This window comes from Homo sapiens, chromosome 5, assembly GCF_000001405.40.
Source record: "Homo sapiens chromosome 5, GRCh38.p14 Primary Assembly".
Lineage (NCBI taxonomy): Eukaryota > Metazoa > Chordata > Mammalia > Primates > Hominidae > Homo > Homo sapiens.
The window spans coordinates 132,706,712-132,726,589 of NC_000005.10; the positions used below are offsets into that span (position 1 = coordinate 132,706,712).

Consider the following 19,878-nt stretch of genomic DNA (forward strand, 5'->3'; position numbering starts at 1 on the left):
ACTCAAGTCAATCTCAAGATCTCACACTGATTCCCCAAGTCCTGCAAAGGTCACAGTTCAACACCATGTGGTTATGCTAACAGAAGACATGGAATTAGGAACCTGCTAAGATCTGGGAAGTAATCTAAAAGGGCAAAACAGAAAATTAAGGCAATTTTAACAACTAGTACATTTAAAGTGACAAAATTCACACTGTCCATATCAAAAATGTCCCAATTCAATATTTCTTTTAGTATATGGATCTATTATAGGCATGCTTCACTTTAAGAAAATCTAACACAAAAACCTGAACCAATCCAACAGATAAATTAGATTACAGTAATTTCCACTGATTATTTGATTAACAGAAAGGTCTAATGAAGAATTTTTAAAGACACAAGTTCTCCCAATACATCCGATTTCCCAACCGGATTAAGGGCTTTTTTTTTTTTCCAGAAAATAAAATTATTACATAAAATGAAGTATACCTGTACAGTAACAAACTTACATTCCTTCTATTAGTAGATTTTTAAGGGTAATTATAAACAATGATTCTACAGGAGTCACTGCCAATTAAGGACTCAAGCAAGAAACACCTTTTAAAAAGGCCATTGAGATATTTAAAAGGGAAGGTACACACAGCAACCACATGCTAGGACAACCATCTCTCCACTTCACCAACACGCCCACATTACAAGAAAAAAATTATGTGCTAGGTACGCAAATAGGAATTAAAACTTCTTGAATTGAACAAAGTACAACTCATTTCATAACATACTTTCATATAACTACTCTTTAAGAATTAAGTTTTAAAACAGAAAACTAAATTGCAACGCCTCCCACTCAAATATTTTCGCATATTTCACAGTTTATTATACAAAGTAATACCTCTATGTGGTTTCTAATGCAATTCCAAGTATTTTACAAATTATCCTTTGAAATGAATTGTTTTGGTAACTTGCCTACAAATTGTCAATAGAGAAGGAGATTTCTAATATTCTTGGAATTATTCTTCTAGAAAGCTAAAAGCATAAGAACAATAAGCAATTATTTTTGTCATTAGTTTTGAAAGGGTAAGTATATAGATAATGCTTTAAAAGACAGTAAGCTGCAGGCTGGTACAAGAAAGCAACACTACTCCCCTTTCTTCTGAAAATAAAATATAAATAAATTAAATTAAATAACACTTTTCAACTTAATTAAATTGTTTTAACAAAAGCCTTTAAGTTTGAAATAAGTCTAGATGGATCCTGCATAAAATCCACGTGATTCTGCATTCTCTAATCATACCTTAGAAAATCTCTTAAAATCAGCCGGGCGCAGTGGCTCACGCCTATAATCCCAGCACTTTGGGAGGCCGAGGCGGGCAGATCATGAGGTCAGGAGATCGGGACCATCCTGGCTAACACGGTGAAACCCCGTCTCTACTAAAAATACAAAAATTAGCCAGGAGTGGTGGCGGGCACCTGTAGTCCTAGCTACTCGGGAAGCTGAGGCAGGAGAATGGCGTGAACCCGGGAGGCGGAGCTTGCAGTGAGCCAAGACTGCGCCACTGCACTCCGGCCTAGGCAAAAGAGCAAGACTCCGTCTCAAAAAAAAAAAAAAAAAAAGAAAGAACTTTTCTTAAAATCTATCAGGTAATACAGAAATATGGATAAATGTCCATTTGAAATAAAACACTATTCAATTCATCTTTACTTGCTTCAAGCTTTATGTTTTTCTTTATTTGGGAGCCTTTAATCTTAAGCTACCACTAAGAATAGGACACCAAAGTGTAAAAAATTTGTAATTGTACGACATGTTATAATGGGCACTGGTGTACTTCAAATATAATTTGTACTTTTAGAAATACAAGATTTGATGTTACGTGTCCCTTATTCTGAGCAGGATTAGAAATGTGTCATGAAACCTAAAAAATAAGCATAAGAATTATTCTTTTATACAGCTTACTAGCTCTCTTTACATTATCTCAATTGCAAAAGCATGAATCTCTCTTCCATTGTCTCAAACATAAGCTAAAGCCTATGTTTTAACAATTATGATTAACTGGAAGCAATGAAAGGGGGTGGAGGAATCATCACATGCTTTGTTCTACTGAGGAATCCAACATGTATTCTTTAGGTAATGACAGGGAGTGGTGCAGCATTGCTCAAATGAAGCCCATGGGTTATGGAAAAGCCAAAGCTCTGTTAGAGAATGTAAGAGCTACCACTCACTAGGCAAGAACTTATCCAGAGGTTTCTCTATGACAGAACATGTGGAGTCTGAACTACTGCTGCTGCTACTGCCTGGAAAACAAAGAAATGAGCCCAACAGGAACCAAAGAAAGAGGAAACAAGAAAATGAACACACACACAGAGAAAAATTCAGTTTTCAGAGAAAAAAATTTTAAAGGACAATCAAGCTTTGTATTAAAGAACCAAAATTTACTTTCCTAAAAACCAATCTTGGTAGTTTATCCAATATTCTCTACTTTACAAAGCCATACAGAGGAATTAGAAAGTGTACTGCTTTAAGCAACTACTGTGGGCAGATCCTACTGGTCACCTAAAGCCTAATCATTCAAAGGGTTGAAATGACAAGAATAAAAAATAAAGAAGTCATTTGGTGAGATTTTAGTCTACTGAAACTATTTAGGTTGATAAGTTAAAGGAATGGAGTTTTAAAACTCAAAGTCATACACAATAAATATTATAGGAGTGATAAATTACCCTTCATAATAGGTTAGTCTATCTCCACTTTCAGTCTCTCCCTCCCCCAAAATATCAAACTATCAAATATGTTTAAGGTTTGATAGCAAAACTTTCAAAAGGCTCACTGAAAATTTTTAAATTTCTAAGCCTGGAAGGAAGATACATTATTGTTAAATATTTTAACATATTACTGGCATTTTTCTATTTAAAATTTTATTTTTAACAAATCTGTTATCAGCTTTAGCTTTGAAAATAATAATCTACTCTGTGAAAAACTAGGTGTGAACAAAAAAAATTTCTCTAAATCAGGCAAACGTTTTCTGCAAAAGGACAGATAAGTGTTTGAGACTTTGCAGGCCATACGGCTTCATGTGAAAGCAGCCATAGAGCATATGTAAATAAATGAGCATGGCTGTTTTAATAAAATTTTATTTACAAAAACAGGTGGTGAGCTGGATTTAGCCAGCAGACATTTTGCCAATTTTTGCCATAAATCATTATTTTTCTGTCTTTTGAAGTTACAAAATCTTTATAGTTTTTAAATTTGGGACTCCTAATCAAGCAGTGATGGGTTTATTTTTAGCACAATCATTTTAATAAGACAAACAAAATATGCACCAGCTTGAAAACAATGACCACATTAATGGAAGAGAGTTCTGAAATAAATATTTATGGTAAAAAGGTTTGAAATGTAGGCCATTATAATATGTCCATTTCATTTGCATATTATCTATATTCTGATCATAATAAACAGTCTTAATTCACACGTGGCAACAAATCCCCCACAACAGAGTGAGAATGAGAATACATTTTATAAAGAAAAAGAACTAAATTTAAAAATGGAATTCCTCATACAAATTTACTATTTAAAAATTCAATGACTTTTAAAGACTAATCTTGTTTGTGGAAAAACTCCACATTATCCTAATTTCCTTAAAATACTTAGGTTCCAGCCAGGCATGGTGGCTCACGCCTGTAGTCCCAGCACTTTGGGAGGCCGAGGCAGATGGATCATGAGGTCAGGAGATCAAGACCAGCCTGGCTAACAGGGTGAAACCCCGTCTCTACTAAAAATACAAAAAATTAGCCGGGCGAGGTGGCATTTGCCTATAGTCCCAGCTACTCGGGAGGCTGAGGCAGGAGAATCGCTTCAACCTGGGAGGTGGAGGTTGCAGTGAGCCGAGATCGCGCCACTGCACTCCAGCCTGGGCGACAGAATGAGACTCCGTCTCAAAACAAACAAACAAACAAACAAACAAAAAAACTTAGGTTCCTAACACAGATGTAAGTCCCTACATAAAATTAAAACACACAGGAAATTTTAAAATGGCATACCCAGTATTATAGAGTCTTACAATTCTAAATTCTAAAAAAACAGAACATATATTCAAAGTCAGCTATAAACGGATCAATACAGGAGAAAAAATGCAAAGTTAACCAGGTAAATGGCATACATCTTCTGTTCTAATTGTTATCTAATATATTAAACAGATAACGGCAAAATAAAAGTCATGCACTCTACCACCTTGTGAAACCACCTAATTTCTACAAATCAGATTACTAAACAGAACTTACCCCTTCTTTTTTTCCTTTTCTCTCCATCTTCTCCAACCTCACCCTCTTCATCATCATCTTCCTCTGACCCACTGATATCAGAGCCTGATATTTCTTCTCCTTGGACAGAAATTTAATACAATGTTTTTTATCCTGTACGAAGTCATTAGCTATTTAGGAAATACCTATATCAGCTTTCTTCCTCAGATTTTTGTTACTGCAAACAACAAATTTAAATACTATTTAAATGCTCCTAGAAAGTATAACAGATATGCCAATCTCAGACACAGATGAGATATCCAAAAAGACTTTATTTTTAAAGTCTCTAAAGAGAAGTTAAATTCTGACCCACTTAAAATTTCAAACCATTCTGGCTAGGCAAGGTGGCGCACGCCTGTAATCCCAGCACTTTAAGAGGCTGAGGCAGGCAGATCACTTGAGGCCAAGAGTTTGAGACCAGCCTGGCCAACATGGCAAAACCCCATCTCTACTAAAAATACAAAAATTAGCTGGGCTTGGTGGCATGCACCTGTAATCCCAGCTACTTGGGAGGCTGAGGCAGGAGAATCACTTGAACCCAGGAGGCAGAGGTTGCAGTGAGCCGAGATGGCACCACTGTACTCCAGCCTCAACAACAGAGTGACTCTGTCTCAAAAAAAAAAATAAAAATATTCAAATCATTTCTTTATGTATAATTTTAAATATATATATAAATTATGTGGTAGAGTTACTAATTCAGTCTTTTAAAAATGTGATCACTTTTGAGGAACAATTTCTTCTAAAACAGCTTCCTGTTTAAGATTTCAAATAATTCATTCAATCTGTATTTTTAAGAGACACAGAACTGTCATGTAACAATGATCCCACTTTTAGGACTGTATCACAAGATATTTTCAAAAAAAGAAGTGCTTATTTGTACAAAGACAGTGTTAACTACACATTAACTTAAAGATAAAAAACAAAAAAGGAATGATGAAGCCAATAAAACAGATCAGCACTATATCATCTTCAAATTAGCTATTTTTAAATGCCACTGTTTACATATGAAATGTCTAACAAAATAAAATAGAGGAGAAAAAAGTAAAATATACTCTAATCACAACCAGGTAATAATTGTACCTGTAAGTACAAGATGGAAAGGAACACAGAGTCTTGGGAGAAGAAATTTCTGAAAAATATTTTTTTCTTCGGGCTTAGAAACAATGACATCTTGGTAGTAATGAGCACAGCTAGTGCCCAAAACTGGGTTTCTAAATACCATTCTCCTACAGAAGGGACCAGAGAGAAGTGAATGATTCTAAGATTGGGCAAGGAAGACACAAGATAAACCTAAAACCTTTTGTAGTGCCAAAAAGTAATCAAATGCTCAAAAAAACTGATGAGCACATGCTGAAAGAATACAGGAACTACTCTGAAGGATCTCATAATAGCCAAAGCTGGAACAATTCAATGAACAAAATAAATAATGATAACACTGGATTATAATCCATGATCTAAATAAGATAAATACTTGAATAAATAAACAAATGGGAATGAAGGGGCTGTTCTTCCATACAATAGAATCCTAAACACTAAACAAGGAAGAAATGATGAGAATAGAAAATAACATTGAGCAAATGCCACAGGATTATTGTTGCAGACAAGAACTATTGATGAATACTAAAAATAGTAGAAGAAAGTATGACAAGAAACAGGACCTTTGCAGTCTCAAAGTATCCCCCACAAGATACATGTTAATTACGAATGGAAACATAAAACAATAGATTTGCAGTGGAGAAACTTTGCAGGGTCATTATAAAAGAAAAGTAGACAAACCCAAATTAATGAACATTCAACAAATATATGACCAGTACTCTTCAAAAATGTCAAGATCAAGAAAGACTGGGGAATTAGACTGAAGAACAAGTGTGCTAGACATCGTCATTAAAAAGGCATGACATGGCCGGGCATGGTGGCTCACGCCTGTAGTCCCAGCACTTTGAGATGCCGAGGCAGGCAGATCACGAGGTCAGAGGATAAAGACCATCCTGGCAAACATGGTGAAACCCTGTCTCTACTAAAAATACGAAAATTAGCTGGGCGAGGTGGCATGTGCCTGTAGTCCCAGCTACTCAGGAGGTTGAGGCAGGAGAATCGCTTGAACAGGGAGGCAGAGGTTGCAGTAAGCTGAGACTGTGCCACTGAATTCCAGCCTGGCAACAGAGCGAGACTCTGTCTCAAAACAAAAAACAAACAACAACAACAACAACAACAACAAAACAAAGAAAGCATGACAAATAAATGCAGTGTGTGATCCTGGATTGTATCCTGGACCAGGAAAAAGAGGCACTGGAAGGAAAACTGGCCAAATTTGAATAAAGTCCACAGATTAGTTAATAAGACTATATCAATGTAAATCTCCTGGTTTCAATAACTGTTGTATGCTTATAAAAAATGTTAACATGAGGTGAAGCTGGGTGAAGGGTAGATAGGAACTCTCCATATCATGTTTGCAAGTTGCATATAGCCTACAATAATTTTTAAGTTTAAAAATTATTATTTTAATGCTATTGCCTACTTTTTTATTGTTGATATGATCAACTCCATTAACTAGATTATAAAAAGAAATGTCATAAGAGCAAAAATGAACTGAAATGTATTAACAACAGTATTATCATAGAATCCAGCAATTCCATTGCTGGGTACATACCCCAAAAATGGTAAAACAAGAATTCAAACAGGTATTAGTATACCCACGTTCATAGCAGCATTATTCACAATAGCCAAAAGGTGGAAAGAACCAACTGTCCATTGGTGGATGAATGGATAACAAAATGTAGTATATACACAATGGAATGTTATTCAGAATTAAAAAGAAGTCCTGATACATTCTACAACACGGATGACCCTTGAAGGCATTATACTAAATGAAATAAGCCAGTCACAAAAAGACAAATGCTGTATTTCACTTTCTTTTTTTTTTTTTTTTTTTTTTTTGAGATGGGAGTCTCACTCTGCCACCCAGGCTGGAGTGCAGTGGCATAATCTCGGCTCATTGCCACCTCCACCTTCCAGGTTCAAGTGATCCTCCTGCCTCAGCCTCCCAAGTAGCTGGGATTACAGGCGAGAGCCACCATGCCCAGCTAATTTTTGTATTTTCAGTAAAGATGGGGTTTCACCGTGTTGGCCAGGCTGGTCTCGAACTCCTGACCTCAACTGATCCACCCGCCTCGGCCTCACAAAGTGCTGGGATTACAAGCGTGAGCCACTGCGCCCCACCAATTCCGCTTTCGTAAGATACCCAGAGCAGTCAAATTCATAGACAAAGCAGAATGGTTGTTGGCCAGGAACTAGGGGAAGGGAGGAATGGGTACATACTGTTTTTAATGAGTACAAAGTTTCAATTTTGCAAGAAGAAAACTGAAGACGGATAACTGCAGAACAATGTGAATGTAATGCCACAGAAATGTAGACTTAAATGTGATTAAAATGGTAAACTTTATGTTATGCAAGTTTAACCACAATTTTTTAAAAAGGAATAAAATTCAGGCACTTGCTACAATATGGATGAACCTTCAACGTTCTGTTAAGTGAAATAAGCCAGTCACAAGTAGATACTCCATGATTTTACTTATATGAGGTACCTAGAATAGTCAAATTCATAGAGACCGAAAGTAGAATAGTGGTTACCAGAGACTGGGGGAGAAAAGAATAGGAAGTTACTACTTAAATGGGCACAGCATTTCTGTTTGGGATGATGAAAAATTTCTAGAAATGAATAGTGGTGACAGTTGCACAACAATGCGAATATACTTGATGCCACTAACTGTACACTTAACTAACAATGGTTACAATGATAAATTTTATGTCATGTATATTTTACCACAACAAAAAAATGTAAAACATAAAGTCAGCAAAATAAAAGTATGCACTCACCGTTAACATCGCTAAGAAATTAAAAATCTTTAAAACATACTGGCTATAAATACCACCTAGTGGTCACATTTAAAACACCAAATTTCATTATCTAACAGTTCTCTTACTGCTTTTCCTCAATAACTACTTGTTTACTAAATAAGTACCCTCTCTAAACATTTGTGATGCTGGCGTCTCTGAATTTCACCTCTGATCTAGTCAGTCTTCTCACAGACTACAAAGGTGCTTTGAAACCAAAGCCCTGTTTACGTGGTTCGCGAAGGAGCTCTGTACCAATCAGAAAGGATCTGTTTCTCGCATTAAGGTGCAAGGACTCACTCAGCACTTAATGACTGGGAAGCGTCTCACTCTCATAAATAAGATCTTCAAATTTTCCAACTTTCTAGCATGATATTGTTAGAAAAGAATTTCCAAAATACAATCTCATGTTCAAATTTAGGTATGAAAGGATATTTTAAAGGTCATGCAATGCATTTTTCCTTATAGCAAACTTGGTTTACTCATGACTGTCTAATATCTTGCTTTACTTCAAACAATAGTTAGTTGATATTGATTGCAATGCCAGAATTCTGGTCATTTTCACCTAAATACATACATTGCAGAATTTGCTCTTATACAGAGACAAATAAACATTCATTCCTTAAAAAGTGGTCATATGAAATCTACAAAACATCATGCAAATGTTTTTAAAAAACCACATACACAAATATTATGTAATTTTACTTAAGCTTAATATGAAAATGCGAAAGTATGTAAGTACCAAGTCACTTTCTAGAAATATTCATTTAACTACCAATGTTAGAGGCTCAAAAAAGGTTTAATAGAGGGCTTTTGTTAGAACAGTTAGTGGTTCAACAATGTATTTTTAGCCAACATAAAGATTAATATTTTGAGGAAAAGCTACCTTCTTCAAGCTTCTTTTTCAGTTCTTCTATTTCTTTCTGGAACTGACGCAGCAAAGCATCCTTTGGATCTTCATTAATTCTAGCTTTATTTTTAATATTCTTAGCACGATTGGCATACCGTAATGTACTGATAGTTTCATCATAATTGTAATCTGCTGGCCCAATATTTGCACACTATTGAATTAGAAATATGAAACAAATCATTTTACACTTGACAGAGTTAAAATTAATACTACCATTACAAATACATCAAAAACATTTAAAGCACATATGCACCCTTGGCCTTCTCGAAAATGAGAGTGTCAACCACATGAGTTTCCAAAGGACACTATTATGGGCTAATACACGAGTGTACCACAAAAAGGACAACCACAAGTCAAAAAAAGTAAAATAATCAAGTTTAAAAAATGTGATACGTATCAATTATTGGCATAAATTACAATCTTAAATTTGCCTGATGTTAACTATATCACCAATTAAGTCTTACCATCATGGTTTTTGAATTTCCTCCTAAGGAATCCTGAAGAAGACGAGTCAGTTTAGAGTTACGATAAGGCACATGAGTGCTTTTTCCATCAACCAAGGCAGAAATTACATTACCAAGGGTGGAAAGTGAAAGATTGATTTTTGTAGCTTCCTTTAGGCGCTGTCCAGTAGCTCCAGTTTTTGCCTGTCTTTCTGAACCCTAGCAATAAACAGAGATGAAAGTAAAGCTAAAATTTTTTTAAAAATAGAATATTCTTCCCAAGGTTTTATTAAAAAGTAATGTAACAGTAAAAAACCTGATATGATGCCTGAATTCACTTCAAAATAATATAGGAAAGGAAGAAGTGGGGGAGAGTACATGAAACAAGATTAGCCATGAGCTGATTGTTGGGAGTTGGGTGATCAGTGTATGGGGGATCACTATACTATTCTATCTACTTTCATATACATTTGAAATGTTCCATAATAAATAATAAACATACACAAGTAACACCTTAAAAATCATATGTAAATCATACCTTTTCACTTTAATTTTCATTCATTTATAAAATAAATGGATCACAAGAAAGAGTTATTCCTTAAGCAGTGTCCTGTTACTTACAGCAAGATCTACAAGATGGAGCTTCCCCATCCTGACATGCATGTTACCATCAATGCCTTTTTCACTGCATTCTATAGTAATTGTAAAGATGGCATGGGAACGGGAACTATGTTCGTTCATATTAGTTGCACCAACAGAACCTTTAATAAATAAACGAAATCCTTTAAAAGTGTAACAGAGAGTGCCTTTAAAAATAATTAAACATCCTGAACAGTTTAAAACACTTAATTTTATCACAATCAAAAGCCAGAGAGCATGGCTAAACCATAAAGGCATGGGTGTGTACTTAGCCACTACATGAAATTTCTCTTATACTTTGTTGATAACAAATTTGTAAGGTTTCTCATATTAAAGACATAACTTTAGCAAAAAATAATTTCAATCCCTAGTAATACTGCCTAAAAAATAACTAATTTACACCAAAAAACCACATTAATTGGAAAAATTATTGCTGATTTAGCTATCTAAAGAGAAGTATGCATGCTGGTGTACTGCAGGAAGTAAAAAACAATAATAATAAAGAGAATTTTAGCTACTTGGGAGGCTGAGGCACAAGAATCACTTGAATCCGAGAGGTGGAGGTTGCAGTGAGCTGAGATTGCGCCACTGCACTCCAGCTTGAACATATAAACCACAGGAATACTTGCACACATATGTTAGACAATACAACAATATTCAGTGCAGCATTAAAAAAAATAAGGTAGATCTAAAAACGTGGAAAAATGTCCATAACATATAAATTAAAAATAAAAGCAAGTTAGAAAGAAATACATAACATAATCCTACTTCTGTAAAAAAAAAAAATCCATTCAAAATATGCAAAGTATTTGCATATGTGTAAATATATGAATATATTGTGTAAACAAAAAACATTTTTTTACAATAGACCTGTATTAGTTTTTTTCTTAAATTCCAAAGTATTTTAAAGTTAATTTTACTCAATGCCAAAATTATCTTCCTACTATACATTCATGCAGCATTTTTCTGTGCAAGCTTTGATTTTATAATTGAAACATTAAAAGGGTAATCTTTAATGAAGTGACCAAAAGCTCCAATTAACTACCTGAGAATTAAATTAATTTCATTCTATGAATGAAATCTTGTGTTAAAATTTTTAATTAAATAACCAATAATTAACATATTTCTGGTATTTGTTTTTTTAATAAAAGCATACAGAAAGCATAAAGTGAAAGCTCCTGACATTCCTTTTCCCCAATTTTATTTCTCCTTCTCTAAAGGTAACCACTACAATCTGTCCTTTCATTCTGTATTTTATATACATACGTGTAGACACAAACACACACACACTGCCCAAATAAATATATGGTTTAACAATTTTTCACATATAAATAAATGGGGTAAGGCAGTACATACATACTGTTCTACAATTTGCTTTTATCCCCCCACTGACAAACATACTTTGAAAATCTTCCAGCTCTGTGTAGGCACATTTACCTGACTGGGTTTTTTTGTTGTTTTGTTTGAGACAGGGTCTCCCTCTGTCACCCAGGCTGGAGGGCAGTGGCACAATCTCGGCTCACTGCAACCTCCACCTCCCAGGTTCAAGTGATCCTCCGGCCTCAACCTCCTGAGTAGCTGAGATCACAGGTGCGCACCACCACGCCCAGCTAATTTTTGTATTTTTAGCAGAGACGAGGTTTCACCAGGTTGGCCAGGCTGGTCTCAAACTCCTGGCCTCAAGTGATCCATCCGCCTCAGCCACCCAGAGTGCTGGGATTATATGCATGAGCCACCACACTCAGCTTGTTGTTTTTTTTGTTGTTGTTTTGTTTTGTTTTTGAGACAGAGTCTTCCTCTATTGCCCAGGCTGGAGTTCAGTGGTGCTATCTTGGCTCACTGCAACCTCTGCCTCCCAGGTTCAAGCAATTCTGCTGCCTCAGCATCCCAAGTAGCTGGGATTATAGGCGTAAGCCACCACGTCTGGCTGATTTTTTTGTATTTTTAGTTGAGATGGGGTTTCGCCATGTTGCACAGGCTGGTCTCTAACTCCTGAGTTCAGGAAATCTGCCCACCTTGGCCTCCCAGAGTGTTGGGATTACAGGCATGAGCCACCACACCCAGCCTAACTCATTGTTTTTAACAGCTTTATTACAGTCTATGGTATTTTTGTGTCATCATTTACATAATCAGGGTTTTATTGAAGGTTATTTAGATTGTTACATCTAAAAATATTTTCCAGAATGTCTAAAATTAGAAACACAGAGTCAAAAGGAATGTATTTTAAAATGTCAACAGATACTGTTAACAATGCCCTTCAAATAGGCTGCACCAATTTATATTCCATCCTCAGTGCCCATTTCTTCAAAGTCTCACCAACCTACATATCCTTCATCTAATCTGATGGGTGAAACATCTCTCTCTATCTTGTTTTAGCATTTTCCTGATTAGTTGTGAAGTTAAACAGCCTTTCACATACTTATTGCTGTGCTTAGTTCTTCTACGAATAACATACATATTTTTTGCTAATTTTTCTATTAAGATTTGGTCTTTTTCTATTAATTGGTTCATAAGAATGTAATTGATTTTTGAAGTTTTGTTGTTTGATTTCCTTGGGTTTGATATATCTATCGTCAAGTCACAGAAACTTATAAAAATTTTTCATTTCCTATTTCTCATCTTTTACCTCTAATCCCTCTTTTTTTCTTTTTTTTTTGGTTGCTGTGTTGCCCAAGTTGGAGTGCAGTGGCGCGATCTCGGCTCACTGCAACTTCTGCCTTCCTGGTTAAAACGATTCTCCTGCCACAGCCTCCCGAGTAACTGGGATTACAGGCACCCACCACCACTCCCAGCTAATTTTTGTATTTTTAGTAGAGACGGGGTTTCACCATGTTGGCCAGGCTGGTCTCAAACAAGTGATCCACCCACCTCAGCCTCCCAAAGTGCTGGGATTACAGGTGTGAGCCACCGCGACCAGACTTTTCACCTCTAATTTCTAATTGCTATTAGCTGCATCACCAGTACTAGGTTTGAGGCATCTGTATAATATCGCTGAAGCTTCCTACTCTTTAGACTAAAAATGTGACACAATTACTAAAAAGAATACAATTTTTTAATTTAAATTTTGTTTTGCTTTTCTTGTCAACAAAAGGGAAGCATTACAGTGCCTAGTTAATGCAGACTACTGGCCTAGGTTTTTTGGGTTTCTTCCAGGTGGGTTTCTTTAGGACAGGGGCTCCCTATTGTCCAGGCTGGTCTCAAACTCCTGGCCTCAAATGATCCTCCCAGTTCAGCCTCCCGAGTTGCTGGGATTACAGGCATGAGCCACTGTGCGTGGCTATGGCTTAGGTGTGATCACTCACTCTACCACTTAGTAGTTATAGTACTTAGACAAGTTACTTAAACTAAGTCTCACTTTCTTCATTCATAAAGTAAGAATTTAATGTCTTCATAGTCTCCTGTGAGGACTAAGAGAGCATCTTTATGAAGCACTTAGCACAAGCACTCTCCACTAAGAGCTCAATAAACATTACCAATTTTACTATTATAGCTACCAAGAGACAGCCGTATGAGAGTTGCATAGATTGGCGCTACTAAAAAGAAACAAAATTTTGCTCGGCATGGAAAATGATTTGTGGTATCTTTCATTCATCTATGCTCTCTACATGGTAAATAATCAAAGTGGAATGGTTTTCAAGAAACCTAAAAAATCCAGTCTCTACAGGGTAAAGTGCCATACCAAATTTGCTTCTAAACCAGCCTACTCAACACACAGATGCTTAATCACAATTACACACTATACTTACGATTTTTGTGGCCTAGCGTCATAATTCTATCCATATCATCAGCATTATTTACCACATAAGCTGATAAATCTTTGATATAAACTCCCACATCAGGTCTTTCTTTAACCTAAAAAAAAATTAAGACTTTATACTATATCAATAACTCTTCCACAATTATTTATTGAGTATCTCCTATGTGTTGGACACTCTACTAGACAGAGGGAATATACTGATAAGATAGACACTGTTCCTACACGCATGGAGATGTCTATAGGAAGAACATACAAATGAAGAATTACACATAAAAATTATTTTATTTCAATTGTGATGACATGAAGAAAAATACAGAAAAAGTACAGAACACTACTAAGCTAGTGAAGGAGATAGGATAAAATTCCCCAAGATGATGTTTAAGCTAAAATTTCTTTAAATAAAAAGGAGGCAGTTAGTCAGTTGAGGTAGGAGAAGAAGAAAATGTGCAAGAATCCTGAAATAAGAAAAAACTAGGCACTTACAAAAAATTAACAAACCGAAAAAGACAATGTGGCTGGAGAGAGCAGGAAACAGGGAAAAATAGGTGAGATATCTGGTTATATAGGAAGACAGAGACAAGTTTAGAATAGTTTTTGGTCTTTATGGTAAGAATAATTTGGAGAATTTCAAGCAACTGAGGGAAATAATCAGATCTATAGTATCAATGTTAAAATATGATCTTTCTGTGAATTACCTTATGAGAAATTTTAACCAAATTTGAAAAATGTATTTAGGATGGATTTACCTAAAATACAAGTGGCACTGTATAAACAAAATTCACTTTGGAAGGCTCAGAGTCATCTCTACAAACCAAAAGAATAAAAAGTGAAACTGAGGCAGAGGCCTGTGGTTGCCAGTGGGAAAAGCCATTCCACGGGTAGGAAGACCTCATAGACATCGAAGACAAATGAAAATCTGATAAACAATTCCAGGGGAAAACGTTATAAAGGTAGACACTCAACATTCCAGTCGTTGATTTTCAATGTTGTGTGTGTGTGCATGCGCCTTTTATAACAATTGATAAGATAAATTTACAAATTAGGAAAAATCCTTTATCTGTCATGGGATATAAATTAAGCCCTAATTCTATTAGTAGTAAAAAAAAAAAAAGTATGATGATCTCTATAAGCCAGTGGATTTCAGACCTTGCTCTGAAAAGCCCTAGAGGGTCCATGGTGGCACTGAGGCGGCCACTGTAGGAGTTTAGGGGTCTTCAGGCCCAGAGAAGTTCTAAAGAGAAGGGCGCTTTCATGAATTTTACACATTGAGCTTCCACATAAGGTTTGGTTTGATGAAAGTGTTGAAATGCTTTACACCTTTTAAAAGGTTTGAAAATTACTGGTCTATATCAATGCTTCTCAAAAAATCTCTGATAAAGGATGTACATATTTGTAATATGATAATTTTGTAAAATACAAAAATCATGCACTTGGATGCCTTGGCAATGTCAAATTGCTATGGAAGTTTTTAAGCACCTACTCTCAGTTTTTGTGTTCATTCTCACCGCAGACTGAAAATGGACATTCTTCAAACTGACATCTGTCTGCAAACTAGTGGTCTTCCAATCACAATATGCTATTAATTCAAAATTCAATTAATAAGTGTATTCAACTAATAACTGACTAGATATGAAAGATGAAGAAAGAAAATATAATTCCAAATGTGTGAAAGTTAAAAAACTGGATGGAAATGCTACCAAAGAATTTTTATCAAAAAAAACACAGGAATTCAATATCTATGACAAACACAGTTTATAACAATGGATCTCAATGGAAGCAGTTACCCTCTTGTCCTAGAATATTTTAGAAATTTGCGCAAGAGTTTCTGGTTCACTTGAGGACACTGTAGTTATTGACAGGCAGGGACCAGGAATACTAAACATCCTGAAATAAGTGGGACAGTCTCACCCAATGAAGAACTGTCCCACAGAATTTTGAATGTCCTACCAGATATTCACATGGTAAAAAAACTACTTATAATTATCTGAGTCTAGACCCAGATAATTATATCTGAGTCTGTCATATGTAACTTTATTTCACATATAAAGACAAAGTGCTTTTCCATATAGCAATAATATGAGAACACAGAAAAACTGAGGGAAGAATTGTGCTTTATTTCGCTCCAAACTCTACCAAGAGCTAGTCACTATTGTAAAAGACCATGTCATTGGCAATAACACCAATCAAGGGGTTTAGATCAACAATACAACATACCTGTTGACACTGCATTTGTAGCTGTTACAATTTTGATGATTCTATATGCCTCTATTTTATTATGTCATTAAGTGTGGTCATATCTAAGTGTTTACATATCTAAATACTAGCATTTATATTTAATTACTTGTATTCTCCTTTATATTACAGTAGGGTAGTATACGAATTTTTTAAAAAGTATGTGTATAGGTAGATTTTATTAATGTCACATATGAGTTTTATTTCAGGACAAAAACGTATGTTATTTAGAAAGGAGTTGGGATGTGAAGGACCTCTTCAAGGAGAACTACAAACCACTGCTCAATGAAATAAAAGAGGACACAAACAAATGGAAGAACATTCCATGCTCACGGATAGGAAGAATCAATATCGTGAAAATGGCCATACTGCCCAAGGTAATTTATAGATTCAATACCATCCCCATCAAGCTACCAATGACTTTCGTCACAGAATTGGAAAAAACTACTTTAAAGTTCATATGGAACCAAAAAAGAGCCCGCATTGCCAAGTCAATTCTAAGCCAAAACAACAAAGCTGGAGGCATCACACTACCTGACTTCAAACTATACTACAAGGCTACAGTAACCAAAACAGCATGGTACTGGTACCAAAACAGAGATATAGATCAATGCAACAGAACAGAGCTCTCAGAAATAATGCCACACATTTACAACTATCTGATCTTTGACAAACCTGACAAAAACAAGAAATGGGGAAAGGATTCCCTATTTAACAAATGGTGCTGGGAAAACTGGCTAGCCATATGTAGAAAGCTGAAACTGGATTCCTTCCTTACACCTTATACAAAAATTAATTCAAGATGGATTAAAGACTTAAATGTTAGACCTAAAACCATGAAAACCCTAGAAGAAAACCTAGGCAATACCATTCAGGACATAGGAATGGCAAGAACTTCATGTCTAAAACACCAAAAGCAATGGCAACAAAAGCCAAAATTGACAAATGGGATCTAATTAAACTAAAGAGCTTCTGCACAGCAAAAGAAACTACCATCAGAGTGAACAGGCAACCTACAGAATGGGAGAACATTTTTGCAATCTACTCATCTGACAAAAGGCTAATATCCAGAATCTACAAAGAACTCAAACAAATTTACAAGAAAAAAACAAACAACCCCATCAAAAAGTGGGTGAAGGATATGAACAGACACTTCTCAAAAGAAGACATTTATGCAGCCAACAGACACATGAAAAAATGCTCATCATCACTGGTCATCAGAGAAATGCAAATCAAAACCACAATGAGATATCATCTCACACCAATTAGAATGGCGATCATTAAAAAGTCAGGAAACAGGTGTTGGAGAGGATGTGGAGAAACAGGAACACTTTTACACCATTGGTGGGAGTGTAAACTAGTTCAACCATTGTGGAAGTCAGTGTGGCGATTCCTCAGGGATCTAGAACTAGAAATACCATTTGACCCAGCCATCCCATTACTGGGTATATATCCAAAGGAATATAAATCATGCTGCTATAAAGACACATGCACACATTTACTGTGGCACTACTCACAATAGCAAAGACTTGGAACCAACCCAAATGTCCAACAATGATAGACTGGATTAAGAAAATGTGGCACATATACACCATGGAATACTATGCAGCCATAAAAAATGATGAGTTCATGTCCTTTGTAGGGACATGGATGAAGCTGGAAACCAGCATTCTCAGCAAACTATCACAAGGACAAAAAACCAAACACCACATGTTCTCACTTATAGGTGAGAACTGAACAATGAGAACACTTGGACACAGGAAGGAGAACATCACACACCGGGGCCTGTTGTGGGGTGGGAGGAGTGGGGAGGGATAGCATTAGGAGATATACCTAATGTAAATGACGAGTTAATGGGTGCAGCACACCAACATGGCACATGTATACATATGTAACAAACCTGCACGTCGTGCACATGTACCCTAGAACTTAAAGTATAATAAAAAAAAAAAAAAATATATATATATATATATATATATATATATATATATATATATATATATATTAAAAAATCATTCTAAGAAAGGGATTACAATCTTCAATGGAGGTTCAAAACTCCCTGGCATAACAGGAATCCCCTAAATTAAAATTAAAGCAATGGAACATAAGAAATCCTAAAAACTATAACAACAATAAAAAAAACTTTCCTAAAATAAAAAAAAAAGGAGCACTGGGTCTAACAGAGTTGAGAACCATTGACAAGAATGTTCCTGAGAATAAATCTGATCTATAATTACTGGTACAAAAATGGAAATGTTCTTTCCAAATGATTTTTTCCTAGAATTTGCATAACACAACAAATTTTTTAGGACATGAAAGCACAGAATTAATCAGAACTAAAGTTGAAAACCAGCAACAAAGAAATTTGTTTCTATATTTGCTATATAAATGGTATCAGAGAATAAGGCTTCATGAGGTCCAACAAGCACAAACAATCCTTAACACTGTAATACACTGCTCCAAAAACTCAGTTTATGCAGTAAACTTAAAAAGAAAAAAAAGCTAATATTTATTATGTCAGGCATTGATTTAAACACTTTCATCTGTTAGTATTGGTAATAATCCTACGAAGTGGATACCATTATTATTTCCATTTTTATGACCAAATCAAGACTCACAGAGATTAAGTAACTTGCTCAAGATCAGAGCCAGAATTCAAGCTAAGATGGTAGACTGCTAGAACCACCTTCTTAATCCTAGATGATACTGCCATTCACTTGCTATATGACCTTGAGCAAGTCAAGAAACCCCTCTAAATTTCAGTTCCCACATCAGTAAAATCGAACTGCTGGGAAGATTAAATGAAATAAATTATTTACTACTACCAACAACCATCAATTACTGCACTGAATGCCTATATCACATTGCAAGAGCTCAGTAATGCTGGCTGCTGTTCTACAAATGCTCTATATTATTCTACAATGGCAGCTACTGCTGTTCTACATGTTACTCTACATACATTATTCTCCTCTATTTTACTGGTGATGCAATCCAACTAAAATTCCAGTATTAACCTTTTCCTTGCTGTATGTCTCACATCTTAAAATATTAAAATATGCAGCAATATCAAATTTACCAATAATTTACCACCTGACTCAGCAATCCTGCTTCAGTAATTTATCCCCAGATATGTCTGCAGATGTACGACATTATATATGTACGAGATTATTTAAAATATAAAAAGCAACTTTTGTTTAAAAAAAGAAGGGGGACCTTAATTTAGCAAATATTCTATTGCTTTGGAAAAAGTACTCCACCAATTTCAATTATCCTTACCTCTAACCTTTGTGTCTGATCCTTGCCCAAAAGGTCACGAACTTCTTCATTATATATTTCCAAATAAGACACTCGAACCAAAAATCTATAAAACATCATTTTTAAAAAGTCAAAGAGTGAAATATTCATAAGAACGGTTTTAAAATATGTTTATAAAATTTATACCTATGTGCCTTTCCAGTGTTTGTACTTCTCAATATCAGAAAATAAAAGAATTCCCTTTTACCTTGTATCACCCTCCGCTTTTGCAATATGACCAAATATGTGAGCAAATGAATTGGGAATTATTCCTCTAAGTTCAGGAATAGCTCGAACACCTTCCATGGTAAAAGTTTTGCCTGTTCCGGTTTGTCCATATGCAAAAATAGTCCCTGAAAATGATGAAGAGAATCAGTTACTTCTTAAAGTCTAATGCTACAGAACAATAGCTCTTAAAATTAATTCCTTTGACACTGTGATGTA

The 19,878-nt window shown here is 35.4% G+C and overlaps 1 protein-coding gene across 5 annotated transcripts in view; it reads right to left on the reverse strand.

Annotated features, from left to right (window-relative positions):
- KIF3A (kinesin family member 3A) overlaps window positions 1-19,878 on the reverse strand; it is a 48,735-nt gene that overhangs the window by 17,900 nt on the left and 10,957 nt on the right. For 3 of the 5 annotated variants that reach the window (XM_017008996.3, NM_007054.7, NM_001300792.2), the window contains exons 3-9: window positions 19,643-19,787; window positions 19,417-19,501; window positions 13,898-14,003; window positions 10,134-10,273; window positions 9,534-9,731; window positions 9,046-9,220; window positions 4,248-4,346 (exon numbers count right to left, since the gene is read on the reverse strand). In XM_017008996.3, the coding sequence (XP_016864485.1) occupies window positions 4,248-4,346; window positions 9,046-9,220; window positions 9,534-9,731; window positions 10,134-10,273; window positions 13,898-14,003; window positions 19,417-19,501; window positions 19,643-19,787 (948 nt within the window). Of the gene's footprint in view, window positions 1-2,195; window positions 2,268-4,247; window positions 4,347-9,045; window positions 9,221-9,533; window positions 9,732-10,133; window positions 10,274-13,897; window positions 14,004-19,416; window positions 19,502-19,642; window positions 19,788-19,878 lie in introns of all 5 variants that reach the window. The other 2 variants (XM_006714526.5, NM_001300791.2) reach the window with 1 other exon arrangement.